This window comes from Homo sapiens, chromosome 6, assembly GCF_000001405.40.
Source record: "Homo sapiens chromosome 6, GRCh38.p14 Primary Assembly".
Lineage (NCBI taxonomy): Eukaryota > Metazoa > Chordata > Mammalia > Primates > Hominidae > Homo > Homo sapiens.
In genome coordinates, this window is record NC_000006.12 from 25,804,222 (window position 1) to 25,826,030 (window position 21,809).

At 36.4% G+C, this 21,809-nt stretch overlaps 1 protein-coding gene across 7 annotated transcripts in view; it reads right to left on the reverse strand.

The window, feature by feature from the left end:
• The window catches only part of SLC17A1 (solute carrier family 17 member 1), a 108,310-nt gene that overhangs the window by 80,479 nt on the left and 6,022 nt on the right, over positions 1-21,809 (reverse strand). For 5 of the 7 annotated variants that reach the window (XM_017011201.3, XM_011514818.3, NM_005074.5 and 2 more), the window contains 7 exons: positions 15,461-15,694; positions 15,290-15,377; positions 14,847-14,933; positions 8,874-8,992; positions 8,610-8,771; positions 7,417-7,549; positions 7,177-7,324 (listed from right to left, as the gene is read on the reverse strand). In XM_017011201.3, the coding sequence (XP_016866690.2) occupies positions 7,177-7,324; positions 7,417-7,549; positions 8,610-8,771; positions 8,874-8,992; positions 14,847-14,933; positions 15,290-15,377; positions 15,461-15,694 (971 nt within the window). The remainder of the gene's footprint in view (positions 1-7,176; positions 7,325-7,416; positions 7,550-8,609; positions 8,772-8,873; positions 8,993-14,846; positions 14,934-15,289; positions 15,378-15,460; positions 15,695-21,809) is intronic. The other 2 variants (XM_011514819.3, XM_011514820.3) reach the window with 2 other exon arrangements.

The following is a 21,809-nucleotide window of genomic DNA, read 5'->3' on the forward strand; positions in this document are numbered from 1 at the left end:
ATTGAGGTCTTATCTAAGCTTCCTTAAACAGAAAACAACTGTCAGCCAAGAATTTTGTATCCAGTGAAACTTAAGTTTCATAAATGAAGGAGAAATAAAGTCATTTTCAGAAACAAATGATGAGGGGATTTGTCTCTAGCAGACTATCCCTACAAGAAATGCTAAAAGGAGTTCTAAATTCTGAAACAAAAGCTGATCTGCACCAGAATAGAATCTCTTTACAGCATAAAACCCACAAGGCCTATAAAACAATAACACAATGAAGAAAACAAAGTAGGTAACATGATGACTGGAATAGTACCTGACATCTCAATATTCATATGGAAAGTGAATGGTCTAAATGCTCCACTTAAAAGATACAAAATGGCAGAATTAATAAAAAAAATCACAAAACAAATATTTGCTGTCTTAAAGAGACTCACCTAACTCATAAGGATTCATATAAACTCAAGGTAAAAGGGTAGAAAAATATCTTACACACAAATGGAAACCAAAAGTGAGCAGGAGTAGCTATTCTTATATCATAAAACAGAGTTGAAAGCCACAACAGTAAAAAAAGACAAAGGAGGTCATTATATTATGATTAAAACATCAATCAAACAAGAAGATATTACAATACTAAATTTATGTGGACCTAACATTGGAGCTCCAAGATTTATTTACACATTTACTACTAGACCTAAGAAATGAGATAGACAGCAACACAATAACAGTGGAAGGCTTCAACACTCCACTGACAGCAGTAGACAGATCATCCAGACAGAAAGTCAACAAAGAAACAATAAACTTAAACTACACTTTAGAACAAATGGATCTAACATATTTACAGAACATTCTACCCAAGAACTGCAGAATATACGGTCCTCTTATCAGCACATGAAACATTATCCAAGATACACCGTATGATAGGCCACAAAAAAGTCTCAACAAATTTTTTAAAATTGATCAAGTATCTTATATTTAAAAATTATATCAAGTATCTTCTCAGACCACAATGGAATAAAACTAGAAATCAACTACAAAAGGAACCATGAAAACTATCCAAATACATGGAAATTAATCTGCTCCAGAATGGGTTTTGGGTTAACAATGAAATCAAGATTGAAATAAATAGTGACACAAGTTACCAAAACATCTGGGATACAGCAAAAGCAATGCTAAGAGGAAAGTTTATAGTACTAAGTGCCTATATCAAAAAGTCTGAAAGATCACAAATTGACAACCTAATGTCACACCTCAAGGAACTAGAGGAAAAAAAGAACAAACTAAACCCAAAGCTAGAAGAAGAAAGGAAATAACAAAGATCAGAGTAGAACTAGATGAAATTGAAAGAATCACAGTACAAAAGATCAATGAAACAAAAGCCTGGCTCTTTGAAGAGATAAATTAGATGATTAGCTAGATTAACCAAAAAAAGAGGAGAGAAGATTCAAATAAAACACAATTAGAAATGAAATTGGAGACATTGTAACTAATACTACAGAAATACAAAAGACCATTAGAGACTACTATGAACACCTCTATGCACATAAACTAGAAAAGCTAGAGGAAATGGACAAATTCCTGGAAACATACAACCCTTCTAGATTAAATTAGGAAAAAATAGAAACCCTGAACAGAGTAATAACAAGCAGTGAGATTAAATCAGTAATTTTAAAAAATTGCCAACAACAACAACAACAACAAAGCCCAGGGCCAGACAGATTCACAGCTAAATTCTACCAGACAATCAAAGAATTGGTGCCAATCCTACTGAAACTATTCCAAAAGATTGAGGAAGAGGGAATCCTCCTTAACTCATTCTATGAAGCCAGTATCACCCTGATACCAAAATCAGAAAAGGCTATAACAGAAAAAGAAAAGTATAGATCAATATCCCTGATGAACATAGATGAAAAATCCTCCACAAAATTCTAGCTAACCAAATCCAGCAGTGCATCAAATAGATAGAATAATACACCATGATTAAGTGGGTATCATCCTAGGGATGCAAGCATGGTTTAACATATGCAAGTCAATAAATGTGATATATAACATAAAGAGTTAAAAATAAAACCCATATGATCATTTCAACAGATACAGAAAATGCATTTGATAAAATCCAGCATCCTTTGTAATAAATATCCTTAACAAATTAAGCATAGAAGGGACTTACCTCAAAATAATAAAAGTCACATATAGCAAACACAACCAACATCATACGAAATAGGGAAAAGTTGAAAGCATTCCTCCTGACAACTGGAACAAGACAAGGATGCCCACTTTCACCACTTCTGGTTAACATTTTACTGGAATTCCTAGCCAGAGCAATTAGGCAAAATAAGGAAATAAAGAGCATTCAAACTGGAAAACAGGAAGTCAAAACCTAGGAAAAACTCTTCTGGACATTGGCCTAGGCAAAGAATTCATGATTAAGACCCCAAAAACAAATGCAAAAGAAACAAAAATAAATTAATGGGACCTAATTAAACTAAAAAGATCCTGTACAGCAAAAGAAATAATTATCAGAGTAAACAGATAACCCACAGAATGGGTGAAAAGAATTGCAAACTATGCATTGACAAAGAACTAATATCCACAATCTACAAGGAACTCAAACAAATCAGCAGGAAAAACATAATCTCATCAAAAAGTGGGCAATTGGCATGAATAGACATTTATCAAAAAAGAAAATATACAAATGGCCAATAAACATAAGAAAAAATGCTCAATATTACTAATTATCAGTGAAATGCAAATTAAAACCATAGTGAGATACTACCTTACTCCTGGAAGAATGGCCATTATTAAAAAGTTAAAAAACAATAGACATTGATGTGGATGTGGTAAAAAGAGATTGCTTAATACACTGCTGATGGGAATGTAAATTACTACAACTTCTATGGAAAACAGTATGGAGATTTCCAAAAGAATTGAAAGTAGATCTACCATTCGATCCAGAAATTCCACTACTGGGTATCTACCCAAAGGAAAATAAATCATTGTAAAAACAAACAGACAAAACACCTGCACATGTATATTTACTGCAGCACAATTCACAGTTGCAAAGATATGAAACCAACCTCAGTGCCCATCAACTGATGCGTGTATAAAGAAAATGCGGTATATATACACAATTGAATACCACTCAGCCATTAAAAAGAAGGAAATAACATCTTTTGCAGTAACTTGGATGAAGCGGGAGACCATTATTCTAAGTGAAGTAACTCAGGAATGGAAAACCAAATGCCGTATGTTTTTTAAAATTATTATTTCAATAATTTTGGGGGAACAGGTGGTATTTGGTTACAGGGATACATTCTTTAGTGAGGATATTTGAGATTTTGGTGCACCCATCATCTGAGCAGTGCACATTGCACCCAATGTGTAGTATTTTAACCCTCACTCCCCTCCCACCCTTTTCCCTGAGTCCGTAGAGTCCATTATGTTATTTTTATACCTATGTCCTCATTGTTTAGCTCCCCAGTTATAAGTGAGAACATAGAATGTTTGATTTTCCATTCCTGAGTTACAAGTTACTTTGCTTAGAATAATGGTCTCCAACTTCATCCAGGTTACTGTGAATGGCATTATTTTGTTTCTTTTTATGGCTGAGTAGTATTCCATAATATATATATCACCACATTTTCTTTATCTACTTACTGTTTGATGGGCATTTAGGCTGGTTCCATATTTTTGCAATTGCGAATTGTGCTGCTATAAACATGCATGTGCAAGTGTCTTTTTCATATAATGACTTCTTTTCCTCTGGGTAGATACCCAGTAGTGGGATTGCTGGGTCAAATGGTATTCTACTTCTAGTTCTTTAAGGAATCTCCACACTGTCTTCCATAGTGGTTGTACTCGTTTACATTCCCACCAACAGTGTAAAGGTGTTCCCTTTTCACCACACCCATGCCAACATCTATTATTATTTTGTTTTTTAATTATGGCCATTCTTGCAGGAGTAAGGTGGTATCACATTGTGCTTATGATATGCGTTTCCCTGATTATTAGTGATGTGGAGCATTTTTTCTTATGTTTGCCACCAAATGCCATATGTTTTTCACTTATAAGTGGGAGCTAAGCTATGGGTATACAAAGGCATACAGAGTGATATAATGAACTATGGAGACTGAGAGGGGAGAAAATGGGAGGACGGGCAAGGGATAAAAAAAACCACCTATTGGGTACAATGTACACTATTCCCCTGATGGATGCACTAAAATCTTAGACATCACCACTGTCAATTCATCCATGTAATTAAAAACCACTTGTATTCCAAAAGCTATTGAAAAAAGAAGAATTTTTTTTAAAAAAATTCAGAGTTAACAAGGAACTCCAACTTAACAACAACAAAATATAAATAACCACATTAAAAAAGTGGAAAAAAGACATAAATAGACATTTTCAAAAGAAGACATACAAATGGACAATAAGCATATGAAAAAACTTTCAACATCACTAATCCTCAGAGTAGTGCAAATTAAAACCACGATGAGATAACATCTTGTACCAGTCAGAATGATTATTATTAAAGTCAAAAACCAACAGATGTTGATGAGGTTGCACAGAAAAAGCAATGCTTATACACTGTTAGTGGAAATGTAAATTAGTACAACCTCTATGGAAAACAGTATAGAGATTTCTCAAAGAACCACAAATAGAACTACCATTAGATCCTGCAATTCTGTTACTGGGTGTCTACTCAAAGGAAAAGATATTATTGTATCAAAAAAGATATCTGCACTCATGTGTTTATTGCAACACTATTCACAGTAGCAAAGACATCAGCCTAAGTGTCCATCAACAGATGATTGGATGAGGAAAATGAGGTTCATATGCACAATGGAATACTACTCTGCCATAAAAAAGAATGAAATCATGTCTTTTTCAGCAACATGGATGGAAATAAAGGCCCTTGTCTTAAGTGAAACAACTCAGAAACAGAAAACCAAATACTGCAAGTTCTCAGTTATAAAGTAAGAACTAAATAATGTATACACATGGACAGAGTGTAGAATAACAGACATTAGAGACTTGGAAGAGTGGGAGGAGGGTGAGGGTTAAAAAATTACTTAATAGGTATGATGTATATTATTCAGGTAATGGTTACCCTAAAAACCCAAACTTCACCACTACATAATATATTCACTTAACAAAACTGTATTTGCATGCCTTAAATTTATACAAAAGCAAGCAACTTTTAGCAACGCTTTTGAGAGCTTGGATTTAAGAAAGAAAAAGATTTTTAAAAACTCTCCCTAGTTACAGTGAACTATCCACACACACACACACAAAATCAATGAAACAATCCCATATATAATAGTTACAAGAAAAAAATTCTTAAAATAAATTTAACTGAATAGGTGAAAGACCACAATGAAAACTAAAATGTTGGTGGAAGATATTGAAGAAGACACAAACAAATGTAAAGATATCCTGTGCTTATGGATAGGAAGAATTAATGTTGTTAAAATGTCTGTACGATCCAAAGCAATCTAAAGATTCAATGCAATCCTTATCAAAATTCCCATGACATGTTTCGCAGAAATAGAAAAACATCTTACAATTTCTATGGAAGTACAAAAGGTCCCAAATAACCAAAGTAATCTTAAACCAAAATAACAAAACTGGAGGCAGCACACTATCTGACTTCAAAATATACTTCAAAGTTTTAATAATAAAAATAACATGATACTAGAATGAAAATAGATACATAGACCAATGGAGCAGAATAGAGAGTCCAGAAATAAATCCAACATTTAGGGTGAATTGATTTTTGACAGAGGTGCCAAGAACACAACATGAGGGAAGGATGGTGTCTTCAATAAATGCTGTTGGGACAACTGGGTATCCACATGCAGAAGAATGGAATTACACTCATCGCGTGCCTTATATAAAAATCAACTCAAAATGGATTAAAGACTTAAACATAAGACCTGAAACTGTAAAACTACTAGAAGAAAACAGGGGACAAGCTCTATGACTTTGACCTGGGCAATGATTTTTTTGGTTAGGATCACAAAAGCACACGCAATGAAAGCAAAGACAGACAAATGGGATTATATCAAACTAAACAGCTTCTGCACAGGAAAAGAAACAATCAACAGACTGAAGAGGCAACCTGAAGAATAGGAGAAAATATCTGTAGACTATACATATAATAAGCGGTTAATATCCAAAGAATACAAGGAACTCAAACTCAATAACAAGAAAACAACCCAATTAAAAAATGGGCAAAGGACCTGAATAGACATTTCTCAAAAAAAGATATACTATCAACAGGTATATGAAAACAATGCCCAACACCACTAATCATCAGGGAAATTCAAATTAAAACCACAATGAGATATCCCCCTACACCTGTTAGAGTGTCTGTTATCAAAAATACAAAAGGTAAGTGTTGATGGGGATGTGGAAAAAAGGGGAACTTTTGCATACCATTGGTGGGAATGTAAATTAGTACAGCTGTTACGGAAAACAGTATGGATGTTCCTCAAAAAATTAAAAGTATAACCACTATATGATCCAGCAATTCCACTCCTGGGTGTCTATCCAAAGGAAATGAAGTGAGAATGTCAAAAGAGATATCTGCACTACCACGTTCATTGCAGCATTATTCACAATAGCCAAGACATAGGATCAACCTAAGTGTCCATCAGCAGATGAATGGCATAACAAACATGTGGTATATATACACAATGGGATACTATTGAGCCTAAAAATGAAGGAAATCAAGTCATTTGTGACAACTTGAATGAACCTGGAGGACATTAAGTGAAATAAGTCAGACACAGAAAGACAAACACTGCATGATCTCACTTACATGTGGAATCTTACAAAATTGGACTTAGAATTAGAGTAGAATAGTGATTACCAGGCACTGGGAGTGAGATGTTAGCCAAAAGATACCAAATTTTATTTATATATGAGGAATAAGCTTAAGAGATCTATTGTATAACACAGTGACTACAGTATAAAACAATGTATTATATTCTTGAAAATTCCTAAGAGTAAATTTTGTGTTCCCACACACACAAAAATGCTAAGTGTGTGAGGTAATGCATATGTTACTTTGCTCGATTTTAGCCATTCCACAAAGTATCCATATTTTAAATCATCATGTTGTGCACAATAAATATATACAATATTTATTTGTTAAAGGTTAAAAAAAAGCGTATAAACAAATCCTACCTGGGAGCAATATCCAAGCCATTTATAAACACTCCACCCAAGCAAAAGCTGCCTGTTGCACCAGCAAGTATTAGGAAAATGACAATGCTGTAGAAGGTGGAACTCAGGTAAGGCAGGCAGACACCAAAGATTGCAGGAAGGAGAAATCCTGGGGAGTGATTCAGACAACATAGTCAGGTGCATCCTAAAGATAGGGGAGAAGTATCTCCCAAGTGCTTAAATGTTCTGGCTGTTGCTTACCTGCTGCTGTGAAGAGTTTCCGGACAGCAATTACGCTGAGAATATTCCTGGTCAGGAAGAAGTCTGATAACTGACCTGCTAGGTTACCACAGATCCAGGCAAACAAATAGGGAAGGGAAGACAAGAACCCATTCTGAAGAGGAAACATTATTCTTGGAGTGAGTTTGATGGGTAAAGCAGTACTGACACACAGAGTAATCCCTATGCTAAAATTTATTATCTAAAATGTGTACTTTCATATAGGAAATCATCAACATACAACAACAGAATTACTGCTGGGACCACATTACCCAAAAGAAAGAGAAAAATAGCTTTGAGGTCAGTAATATTTGTCATAATCTGTCAAATCTTCCAATTTCAGTATCATGAAACGTAAAAGCACTGGATAATAGAGGAGGAAGACTACATTGGGAATAGGAAATACCGGCCCTGGGGAAAATGATAGGATAAAGATGACAATTACAGACATGCGTATGGTGCTTACACTGGACCAGCTGCTACCAGTCCTTGCAGCAACTTCAGGGTTTCATGAAGTATAAAATTGAGTCAGAGAGAGTTTATAAGACCTTACTGGTATGCCAGCCCCTAGGCTGGTTTACTGGAAGCTCATTACAGAATGCGGCAAAGTGGTAAGCCCAGACAGACTCCATTTCTAAAGGAGTCTTGTCTTGTCTGGTTATTATGGTATTGAACAATAGGAGTTTGCCCGTATCAGTGATTCTCCAAGCCAGATGAGCAATGGGTATGCCAGTCCTTCCAAAGTAAGACTTGAGTCTTGGCTTCATAGCCCAGACTCATTGCCTTACTTTGGAGAGGATTGGTAAAAGCTTGGCAGAGTGACAGGGCCTGGCTAAGTGACTTTCATAGGAGGCCCCCAGTCCCTGCAGGGAATGGTGGTGTTGAGCCTTAAGTAATATACAAAGGGAGTCACATAGTCAATGGGAGATGGCAAATGTGCGGAAATATAGATGCATGTGTGCTGTTGCTGGAGTGCCAGACACTTATGTCTACATCAATGCCTTCTGTTTTGGGCAATGTTCATAGAAAGAGCAGAAACAGTTAGTTTCCAGGTGAAGAGCAGTAGCCAGATAGTGTGAGGAGCTGGCAAGAGCTGCGACTAGGGTCGTTAGAGACAGACAAATGTACACAGAGTCTTTCGTGAAGTTAAAAAAAAGAACAAATAGTATACTTACCTCTTTTATATTAACATGAAGCATGGAGTTGATAAACATTGGAGTGTATAGTGTCATGATGTTATGTGACCAGAAAAACGTAAAACTACCAGTGGAAATAGCCCAGACTGGAAGCGACTTAAGTATAGCCTTGATAGGCAGAGATTGTCTACTTGAACTGACCTGGAGAGAAATTCATTAAGAATTAGCACATTAGAACAAACTGGAACATGTTTAGTTTGGAGTAGAATCTGGGAGATGCCAATATGGAGAACTGTGTTCTACCTGCTGGACCAGGGAGGATGTGATGTATTCCTTTTCACTGATGCTTATACATGGGTGGTCTTTGGGGTCATCATAAAACAGAACGAACCAGAGAAGACATACGGCACAGCCACAAGCACCTATCAAAGCAGGGTAAGTTAGAATTGGAAGTCTCTGTTTGTAGTGGATCTCTTTCCCAGAATGGCATTTTTCAATGTATCAGTCTGAGAAACTGGACCTCCTCTTTCTTTTTTGAAACTTTTCAACAAGACTTGTGTTTTTCAGTCCTCCTTTTATCCACAGGGACCCCTCCCTACTAGAAATGGGATAAGGCCTATGCCCTTTCCTGATCTCCTATCCTCTGCTCCCTCCACTCCTGACAGCTGGACCTCCCTGCCCTCAGGCCCTCATCTTTTCAAATTCCTCATGTGTTCCACCATAAGAGGATGGCACAGCTGAGCCTGCACAGGGCTTGACAATTGCCCAGTTGTTTTGTTTTGTTTTGTTTTTAATGTTTAAGTTCAGGGATACAAGTGCAGTTTATTTATATAGGTAAACTTGTGTCATATGGGTTTATTGTACAGATTATTTCATCACCCAGGTATTAAGCCTAGTATCCATTAGTTATTTTTCCTGATCCTCTCCCTCTTCCCACCCTCTACCCAGTGGTAGAAGGTGTTCCCCTCAGTGTGTGTTGTTCCCCTCTACGTGTTCACGTGTTCTCATCATTTAGCTCCCACTTACAAATGAGAACATGCGGTATTTAGTTTTCTGTTACTGTGTTAGTTTGCTAAGGAGAATGGCCCCCAGCTCCATCCATTTCCCTGCAAAGGACACGATCTCCTTCTTTTTATGGCTGCATAGTATTCAATGGTGTATATGTACCATATTTTGTTTATCCAGTCTATCATTGATGGGCATTTAGGTTGACTCCATGTCTTTGCTATTATCACCCAGTTTTGACAGCTTAGCCTCAGCTATGTTCCTGAGATACAGCCCAGGCTTCAGGGATTATTGGAGTTCTATAAGAGTTTGACAAATTGTTTCTATGAGTTTTTTATATGAATAATTTGACTGTGAGGAATTCTCTGCTGGGACAGAAAGTATATAGTGCTCATCAGTCTTCCAGAAGACTTGCATTCATTTGACAAATATTGATTAAGTGCTGATTATTTACCATGCACCTATTTTAAGTACTGGGGATACAGCAGTGAATAAAACAGACAAAAGGCCCTGCCTTTATGGAGTTGACTTTGTAGTGGACAAAAAAGAAAAAAATTATTTTATTCAATCAACTTCCCAAAAATTCATATAATACTGTTTATTATCTCTTTTTCAAAATGAGCAAACTGAGACTCAGAAAGATCAAATTATTTGTGGGACACAAATGTTAGTGAGTGGTAGTTTACCCATAAGCATGAATTATATTGTCCAGGGAGAAACTACACCCCTAGATGGCGAGGCTGGGGTGCTGGAAATAAAAATACTATAATAGAAATAAAGAATGCCTTTGATGCATCAGTAGACTAGACATGACCAAGAAAAAATCAGTGAGCTTGATAAAATGGCTATAGAAATTTCTAAAACTGAATTGCCAAGACAGAAAAAAGAACTAAAAAGACAGAATGGGCTGGGCATGGTGGCTCACGCCTGTAATCCCAGCACTTTGGAAGGCCGAGGCGGGCGGATCACGTGAGGTCAGGAGTTCATGACCAGCCTGGTCAACATGGTGAAGCCCCGTCTCTTCTAAAAATACAAAAAAATTAGCCGGGCGTAGCTATGTGCCCCTGTAATCCCAGCTACTCAGGGGGTTGCGGCAGGAGAATCGCTTAAATCCAGGAGGCTGAGGTTGCAGTGAGCTGAGATACTGCCATTGCACTCCAGGCTGGCCGACAAAAGCAAGACTCTGTCACACAAACACACACACACACACACACACACACACACACACACACACAAAGAATGAAATATCTAAGAACTGTAGGACAATTATAAAAGCTGTAATATACATGTAATAAAAAAAATCACAAGGTGTGATATACATGTAAAGAAACATACTGGAAGGAAGAAAGAAAGAAATAGAGAAAGAGAGAAAGAGAAAAAAAAGAAAAAAGAGAAAGAAAGGAAGAAAGAAAAAGCAAGGAAGGGAGGGAGGTAGCAAGGGAGGGAGGAATGAAGGGAGGGAGGGAGGGGAAAGAAAAAAATTAGAAAAAATATTTAAAGCAATAATTACTGAGAATTTCTTAAAATTAATAATAAACCTCAAACCACAGATATAGGAAGCCCAGAGAATGCCAAGAATAAATAAAAAAAAAAGTTACAACCTGACATGTTGTAACCAAATGACCCCAGTTTTTTAAGAAAACGGGAATGAAGTACTATTTTTTGTTTTCTGAGACGAATTACTATTTTTTAAAGCTTTCTCTTCTTTTCCCCTTTCCCCTTTTCCTCTTGCTCCTCATTTCCAACTTAGCCCTTCAGAAATGCAAATACAACGTTTCACCTCCTCCCCTCACCAGACATTCGCTATAGGAAAAATTCTCCTAACTACGTGCTTCAAGACACAGCTCTCCTCCAGAGCTGACAGTCAATTTGCAGACCAAATTGCCAGGGAACTTTCATCTCTAGGGCGTGGCCTCGGAACTTCCACTCTCCAGGAGTGGTCTTGGAACTTTCTTCCACCTGGAGAGCATATTGAAAACATGCCCTTTTTGGTCACTTTTTCAATCTACTTCTGTCCATGTAAGTGCTACCTCAACTGTGCAGTAGATAACTGCCCGGTAGCAAGGGGACCCCTGCCCTTGCTCATTTCCTCCCCTACCATATGAAAATGCTTACTTTTTTTTTTTTTTTTTTGCCACTTCAGCTCCAAAGGTGAAACGGCACAGTTAAAAGCAAGAAATTTTGTGTCCCTTCCCCAAGCTAGCTTTGGAATAAATCCACTTTTCTTGTACCAGACCCCACTCTTGTTAATTGGACTCTACATGTGGTAAGCAACTAACTTGATTTTCGGTTACAATATAATATTCAACTTCAGTAAATCAAAGACAATTTTGAAAGAAGCCAAAGGGAAAAAAATGACCTGAAGAGTCCTGTTTAAATTTAGAATTCTGAACACAAATCTCTGGCGACTAGACTGAAGCTTGACCTATTCCTACCCAGACCCATTCCCACCTCACTAGGTACTTTGAATGGATATATGTGGAAACTCTTGGCTTCCCCATTGTGCACCATTCATATCTTATGCAAATAGTGCCTCCTACCTCCCTTGGTCACTCCCCAGTTGAATGGATGTTGGGAAGAGCCCTGCTGGTCTTTTCCAATATAACCAATAGCCTTGGTTCTATTTAAGCAAGACATTCCAGGCATGATGATTAGAAGCAGAGCCATGGGCTCTACTGAGCCTACTGTCTTGGCACCTGCCCTATGAAGACAGCCTAGCTAGAGAGGGGCTAGAATGGGCTATCCACAGTGTGGAATCTAGGGCAAGCGCCCTCTGGCCTGGGCCTCAGGGCAGCGGTGACAGAAGCCATAAGTGATCTTGGCAATAGCTGTGTTTGATGCCACATACACTAGTCAGATGTGAGTTAAGGAGAGCGTGAGATGCTAGGAAATGTAGGCAATGGGTACAGACAGATTATGCAATGATTTCAATGGTCAAAGGGAGGTTACTTGAGACAGAAGACAGGGAAAGGGAATCATTTTAGAGATTTGAGAAGAGTTAAGAAGTTTGAAATAGTCTTTAGGAGACAAATATAGCAGGATGGCCAGGCCATTTTTTTTTTTTTTTTGAGACGGAGTTTCACTCTTGTTGCCTAGGCTGGAGTGCAATGGCACGATCTTGGCTCACTGCAAACTCTGCCTCCCGGATTCAAGTGATTCTCCTGCCTCAGCCTTCCGAGTAGCTGGGATTATAGGTGCCTGCCACCACGCCCAGCTAATTTTTTGTATTTTTAGTAGAGATGGGGTTTCACCATGTTGGCCAGGCTGGTCCCGAACTCCTGACTTTAGGTTATCCACCCACCTCAGCAACCCAAAGTGCTGGGATTACAGGCGTGAGCCACTGTGCCCAGCTGGCCAGGCCATTTTAAGTGCAAATGTAAGTCTGTGACTCAATTTACTCTACTTGGTAATCTCCAGCAATTATCAGCTGCTTAAATACAGTTATTGTCGTATTCTTTAAAACAGTATCTATTCAGATTTGTTCAACTTTATTGGCAAGAATATTCCAATGGAATTTTAAAACAATCTTGGTTTTAGTTTTCCCTCTGCCACTAACGAACAGGTCGTTTGACATACGTGGACATCATGTAATTTATAGTAAAAAGGTTGTGGGAGGCAGATACCTAAATTCCTAAACAGCTGTCATCTAATCCCTTTTCCTCAATTCTTAGTGATAAGGAAAAAACATGTGAGGGACTTCACAGTAAAGCTATTATCATAGTACAATGTGTAGTTGTGTAACACCTTCGTTTGAGTTTCATGAAACCACCCATGATAACTGTAAGTGGCATACATTGCTGTACATGATCTTATCATAGAAATACAACATAAATATTAGATGTCATTCAACCCTTGATCAACAATGTTGGGCAGCATTAGTTATTCAAAAGTTTTCCTTATATGGAGCTGAAACCTCACCCCTGCTCCCCTGCTCCGCCGTAATTTCTGTATATTTGGGTTAGTTTTGTAATTCAAAACAGGTCTGCATTTTATTTATATAAAGTCCTACAAGGTATGTTCTCTCAAGTTTTCTCTTCTTCAGGCTAGACATTCTCAGTTTTTTCAGCCCCTTTCCTGATAAGGGGCTTACGTTCCATCACTATGCTGACCATTGTCTACTACTGAAGACTAACTAACACAGTCATTAACAGCAATGGAATTTTGAGGATGGAAGACATGTTTTCAGATTATGCCTCTGCCATCTGCTCACTGTATATATTGGATGTCTTCTGTTTGTCCCCCTAGATGTACTCCTCATCCTTCTTCACCTTACTTTGGCTACAGATGGCTGATGTGAATGAACATCAGTAGGCCCCCATGTCCTCTGCTTCCACCTGGATTTGGCCAACAGAAATTCCCGGCAGAGATGAGAGGGAGAGAATTGAGTGAGATCAAGGTGTCTTTTCAAACCCTGGTTAGCTCTGTCTTATGATTGCCTCAATCTATGTGTCCTTTTATGAAAAATCATGAGTTCTTTGAAGGCATCCTGCTCTATAGGGCTCTCCTAATGGATTCTGATAACTACTTCCTTGCTTGATGCCTTTGGACCTGGGGATGCTAGATATTCCGAGCTCCTGTATCGCTAGCCCCAGGTAACTGGACTATTCCTAGAATTTCACCGGATCTCATACCTACCTTTTTAAGTGATCACTTTGTAAATAAATTCTTCCAATTTTGCCTTAAGTATATGACTTTGATCAAGTTACCTAAGCCTTTTGAAGTTTCCTCACGTATCAAATGGACATAATAGAACCTATCCACATTTTCTTATTCACAAACCTGAAACCAAGATCAGAGAGCCGAAAGTGATTTTATCACTTATTTGTAAACCTTATTTCTTTATAGTTTTTTTGTGTGTTCTAGTTTGCACAGATTTCATTTTTTACTGTAGAAATTAATGTGTTTGATTATGTGGTAGTGCTCCACATCATGCTTTGAATGTTAAGTATAAAAAGTAACATATTTCTGAAATCTGTAAACTTATTTATTCTGATCATCCTTTTCCTGGAGAGTTTCATATAAAAGCATATGCATCTATATCGCCTACATTATAGAATTATAAAAGTTATGTACAAAAATACATGTATAGTCCTAAGCATAATACCTTGCTTGTGATAGGAACTTAATGAGTATTGACTTCTCTCTTTCACTCAGTGGAGTTCATGATTTTTAATATTAACTTTATATGAATTATTACATTATATTGGGTTTTAATGTTTAAATTTTTTTAGATTCTGAATAATAACTAGGATTTTACAGAAAGAGACTCACCAAAAATATAGAAGACCATGGGCCAGCCCAGAGATTCACAGATAACTCCAGTCACAAGTAGGACAATAAAGGGTCCCAGCAAAAACCCTAATCAGTAGGTACAAAGAACACCCCTAATTAATGCAGGCATCTGAAAGCAGAGATAATGTAGCCTCACTGTAGCAATGAACAATTTCCTGTGAAACAAATTTGTGTATCATAACACAAACATCAGAAGAAAATAATAAAAATATTTTCTTTTCTCTCTTTTTCTCTGTTGTTTGAGATAAGGATGGCTCTTCTCCATTCTATACAATTCTCTCATCTTCATAGCAAGAATGCTGAAACAGATGATTTCCAAAGCCCTTGACCATTCAAAACACACATTTCTTATGGCTCTAGGGAAGAATGTAATACAATGAGATGAAGATAGGATTCAAACATTCTAGGCTTTAATTCTTTACCTGATGTACTCATAGAAGTAAGTCGGCCTCGTTCCAGGGGAGGAGCCCATTTGACATATATTTCAAACTGGGCTGTTGCAACTATCCCCTGAAATGAGAAAGGTTTGACATTTAATCTCTAATACTTCCTGTGAATTTAAACTCTGTTCAGTTTTAGCATTATTTTAATACCTGGGCTGCTCCCTGAACTGCTCGACATACAACGACCCAAGCTACTCCAATTCCAGCTGCTGGTGGGATGAGCAGGCTTAACACAGAGCTGAGGCATAATGCAAAGCCAATCATTTTCTTTGTAGAATATATTCCAGAGAAGTATCCAACAGGAACTTGGATGATGATGACACCATAGGAGGTGGAACTCAAGATGATTCCCTGGATATCTGGGCTCCAATTATACATAGGGTTCTAAAAGACAAGGGGGGACATGTCGAATCACTCTGCATATCAGAAATTTACTGTGACATTTAGGGATTCAGGGAAACTGTTCTGGCTCACCTCATGGAAAGTAGCTCCCCTCTTACTAGTATTCTTTATCACAGGACCTTCTTTATTCTTTTATCACACCATTTTCTGTACATATTTACATTTTATCATTGGAGTAATGTAAAGTCCTCACAGCCAAGGACACCATCTGTACCTCCCTCCAGTACCTTTCACAGCATAGACATTTAATGCTTGTTTCTTGAATGTTGCTAAACTGCATGTAAACTCCTCCTGTGTAGCATACATACATTTAAATAGTTAATTTCCTGTACTTCATAGTACTACTCATACTGCAGTTGTGAATTTCCTCTTCCCTGTTTGCTTTCTCTAACTCCTCCATTAATTTAAGCTCATTCGCAAAATCACTTTTCCCCATATACATATTGCTCCCAGAGAGCAAAGTCATGAAAGAGAGAAGATAAAACCATGAAGAATTCTCAGACTGAACTGTGAAAACAACTGCACAGAACAATAAAAAGAAAAAGGCCATTTCTCTTCCTTCACTTGGTTCTGATGTGGCATATTTTTTCCAGAAATGTATTTGTTAGTCCATTCCTAGGTTAGAGGGCCTTCTATTGTTTCTTTTTACATTATTAAAGAATGATGGCCGGGCGCGGTGGCTCACGCCTGTAATCCCAGCACTTTGGGAGGACGAGGCGGGCGGATCACGAGGTCAGGAGATCGAGACCATCCTGGCTAACACAGTGAAACCCCGTCTCTACTAGAAAACCCCATCTCTACTAAAAATACAAAAAATTAGCCGGGCGTGGTTGCAGGCACCTGTAGTCCCAGCTACTCGGGAGGCTGAGGCAGGAGAATGGCGTGAACCTGGGAGGTGGAGCTTGCAGTGACCAAGATCGCGCCACTGCACTCCAGTCTGGGCGACAGAGTGAGACTCCATCTCAAAAAAAAAAAAAAAAAAAAGAATGATAAAAGAAAATCCTAATATTGAATTTATTGTTGAGACTATGAGGGACGAGGTTGCACAAGTTTTTGGACCCACTTAACAGGAAGAAATCTTAATGGTAGTAGAGGAGGACAGGATAAAGTTTATTTGGAAGTGTCTAGGATAGTGGCATTTTCTAAACTTTCTCTGTTACTTGCATAATTAGGAGGAACATATTAAATAACGAAGAGTTTCCTGAATAAACAGTGAATGTGCTGGATGTTATTTTTGGTTGAATATTAAATAAAATAGGTAGGAATCCATATGTTTGTTGTCATCACTATTATCCCTCCATTCTTCTTTTTTCTCTCCTTTTCAAGTCACTGTCACCCTATAGCTGTGGCCTCTAGAGTGTAATATTTCTCTTGGATGGAAAAGGACTTCCATGGAAAAATCTGGTAGGAGTGACTCTCTGAGAATACCAAATAATAACCAGTGAGGCACATCCTTATAGTAGCCTGGGTGCCAGGGAAGTTCCAGATCTTTTCCACTGAGAGGAAGGAGGCTACACAGAAGATGAAGCAGAATGCTCAGCCAGGTTTTGTTTTGTTTTGTTTTTCTTGTTTTTAATCACAGGAAGCACCAAGGAAGTCAATATTCACCCTTACCCATATCAGGTGGGCCAGCAGGCATTTGTTCTACTCTCCCTGTGCATGTGAACACATCACTCAAAATCTTGGATAGTTTTTCTTATGGCTTAAAGCCATCACTCTCCACAGCAGAATGTAGAAAATAAAAAAAGTTCACCAGAATTGGTTTAAATCCCCTGAGCTCATACTGAAACTACTCACACCAGAAAGATAAATCCTCAGTTTATATTTTTCTATACAGTGCATTAACTAGTTGCCATTGAACAAAGTACTCCACATATAAATGTATAAATGACTCTAAGTAAATCTTAGAAATATATATACTCATTTGTATGAGTCATATAAATGAATAAGAAATATATAATACCTCAGTAAGGAAAATGTATCCAGGTATCAATAGATAATTTATAAGAGAACAAAATGGAAATGATCAATAAACATAGGTCACAGAAATATACAAATGTGTAATCCCATTAGTAATAAAAGAATATATACTTTAAAATTATGGTAGAATTTCTAACTGTCAAGTTGGTACACTTAAAAAAGAATAATGACACAATCTCCTTGACTTTGATGGAAGAGGGAAGACTGACTACAGAATATTCCTCATCTACCTTCTTTGTCATCTTCTTTTCTATAATCAGTGTTTCTTACTGTGGTAAAATATCTGTGTGTGTCTGTTCCGTGTTTTTCTTATTTCGTCTTTTTTTCTAAAATGTTTGTTTTGACTTTTTCATATTCCTTTCCTGTCAATTTCCTTTTTTCATTCATCTGCTCTCCAAGCAAAGCCTCTTGTGGTCTGGCCATGTCTACTTTGAGTTATTGTAGATACTGCACTATGGTGTTCCTTCCATAGCTATAACTGCTTTACTAATTTTTAGGTTATTTTGTAATGTTAGACTACAATTTAGATCTGCTTTGTGGAATAATTTTCTGGTGTGTTTTTCTATTTAGAATAATTATGTATTCTATTTCTTCATTTTTAAATGTAGTACCTTATGTAGCAGTAAACTGAATTGTGACAGGAAATTTCATGGGATGGCAAAAGGTTTCATGGGGTGGCGGGCTGATGCATGTGCTAGAGAAATCTTTCAAGCTCTATAGCTCAAGAGCTCCCTCCTCTTTTAGAGCCATAGTGAAGGCTCTAAAATACAACTCCCGTGAGTAGCCATTTCTCTAGAATATGAGGTTCTCAGTATTTAAACCAAAGCACTGGAATATCATAAATATTTAAGAATATAATTCAAAACACTTTATATGAAATAGATTTTATACAAAATAGATTTCATACAGAATAGATTTTATGTAAAATAGATAATTGACACAATAAACTGTATCTATATATATATTTGTGAAGCTATCACCACAATTAAGACAGTGAACATATTCTTTATCTCCAAAAACTTCCTCCTATTTTTTTTGTAATTCCTCCCTCCTGCCCTCCCCCACCACTGATCTGCTGCCTGTCGCTGTAACTTAGTTTTCATTTTCTAGAAGTTTTATATTAAGGGAATGCTACGGTATGTACTCTTTTTTATTGTCTAGCTTATTTCACTTGGCATAATTATCTTCAGTTTTATCTATGTTGTTCTTTGTGTCAGTAGTTCATTCCATTATACTGCTAAGTAGTACTCCATTTTATGGATGTGCCATAGTTTGTTCAATCATTCACCTACTGATGGACATATAGGTTATTTCCAGTTTTTTGGCTATCAGAAATAAAGCTAGACAAAAATGTTTATAGAACATTTATGTACAAGTCTCTGAATGGACATATGCTTTTATTTCTCTTCAGTAAATAACTAGCAGTGGAATGGCTGTCTCATATGGTAGGCATATGCTTAATTTTTTATGAAATGACAAAGTGTATTCCAAAGTGGTTGTACCACATTGCATTCTCACCAGGACTGTAGGAGAATTCTAGTTCCTCCACATTCCTGCACACACTTTATATTTGCAATCATTACAATTTTAGCCATTTGAATCAGTGTGCAGTAATTTATCTTTGTAGTTGATGTTTGTCTCCAATGTCAAATGATATACAGCATCTTTTCATGTGAGTATTTTTCCTCTGTGTATCTCCTTTGGTGAAATAGCTGTTCACATCTTTTTTTTCCATTTTTGTATTGGGTTGTGTTTTTTAATTGAGTGTTGATAGAAGTTCTTTATAAGATATGATTAGCAAATATGTGCCCCTGTCACTGGCTTGTTTTTTCATTATCTTAACAGTATTTTAAATTCTGATGAAGTTCAGTTTTATGTTTGTTCTTTTGCATATCTTGAAAAATCAGTTGTTCATATGTGTGTCAGTCTCTCTATTATATTTCATTGATCTATTTTCTGTCTTTACACTAATTCTACACTGTCGTTATTACTATAACTCTGTGTAAGTCTTAAAATTAGCAGTAGGTAGTGTTACACCTCCAACTACTAATTTTCCATGAACATTCAGAGGCAATTCAGTGGAGAAAGAAAAGTTTTCTCAACAAATTGGGCTGAAAAAAATTGTACATCCATATGTAAAAAAAGATATTTAATGCAACATGTACAAAAAGTAATTCAAAATGAATCATAGATTTAACAGTAAAATGAAAAATTATAAAACTTCTAAAACACAGAAAATTTTTTTTGATCTTGGGTTATGCAAAGATTTCTTATATGCAACAACAAAAGCACAACCCACAAAAAAATGTTAAGAGAAGTTCTTCAGGCAGAAGAAAAGTGATATAGCTAAAAAATGTGGATCTACATTTAAGAAGTAAGACCATTAGAAAAGAATAAATGCCATTATCATGTGTATGCTGGTCATCATGATCAGTGTGGTACAATTTTTAAAAATAAACTATGATGCCCTTCATGCCATTAAAAAATAAATAAATAAACAAAAAATTTAAAAAAGAATAAATGAAAGTGGAAAATATTTTATTTTGAATTGATCTAAAAGATAACTTTTTGTTGAAGGAATGTTTTGAGTATTTATAACATATAGATACATAAAATGAATAACAGTAGTCACAGAGATGGGAGAGAGGAATTGGAAATATTCTGTTACGAGATGCCTTCATGATACATGAAATAGTATAGTGTTATTTGGAGGTAGATTTGTATTATTACAAATGTATATTATAAAACCTATGGAAGCTATTAAAATAGTTTTTTCAGGTATAAATGATATATCAAGAGAGGAGATAAAATTCAGTCATATAAAATGCTCAGTTAAACCCAGAGAAGGCAAAATGTGAATGAAAAAAAAATTAACAAAGAACAGATTTAACAAATAGAAAACAGTTACCAAGTATGTATTTTTCTATTCTTCCTTTCAGTTCTCACAGTTTTTGCCCCCTATATTTTGCTGCTCTGTTGTTAGGGATACACATGTTTAGAATCATTTGTTTTTGGATAATTCACTCTTTTTATCATTGGGTAATGCCCTCTTTATCTCTGGTTATCTTCATTGCTATAAACTCTGCTTTGTCTAAAATTAATATAGCTACTTCAGTTTTCTTTTGATTTGTGTTTTCATGGTTGCATAGTTTACATCTTTCTTCATCCCTTTACTTCTAACTTATCTGAGTCTTTATATTTTAACAGGATTTCTTGTAGATAGAATATTTGAGGATCTTTATTTGTTATCAATTCTAACAATTTCTGTCTTTTAACTGGTGTGTTTAGAACATTCACATTTAAAGTGATTATCAATATAGTTGGATTAAAATCTACCATCTTTTAACTTTTCTTTTGTGGTAAGCCTGCTGGCAGTAAATTCGTATATATGAAGGGAAAATTGAAGGACAAAAATTGAAAGACAATAAAGGCTTTCTCAAGTTATAGCTACAGCTTGAAATTTTACAGTCTTTCAGTTTTGTCAATAATTTTATTGAATACAGAATTCTAGGTTGGCAGGGGTTTTCTTTCTTTCAACACCTTAAAAAGTTCACTTTTCTCTCCTTATTTGCATGGTTTCTGATAAGAAGTCTGCTGTAATTCTTATATTTGTTCCTCTGTAGGTATTTTCTTCCTCTGGTTTTATTGAAATGTTCTTTTTGTCTTGGTTTTCTGCAATTTAAATATGGTATGCCTAGGTGGCTTTTCTTTGTTTTTGTTTTTGCTATTTATCTTGTTTGGTGTTCTCTGAGCTTCTTGGATCTGTGGTTTGATGTTTGTCATTAATTATGGAAAGTTCTCAGCCAATTTTTGAAAAAAATATTTCTTGTTTCCTATTCTCTCTGGCATTCTGGTCATGCACATGTTACACCATTTGATACTGTCTACAATTTGGGAAAGATCTGTTAATTTTTTAAAATTCTCTTTCTCTTTGCATTTCAACTTTGGGAGTTTCTATTGACCCATATTCATGTTCACTAATTATTTCCTCAGTGGTGTGGAGTCTACTGATGAGCCCCTCAAAAGCATTCTTTGTTATAATTTCCTTGATTTCTAGTATTGCTTTTTCATTCTTTTTATAGTTTCCATCTCTTTACTGACATTACCTATCTTGTTT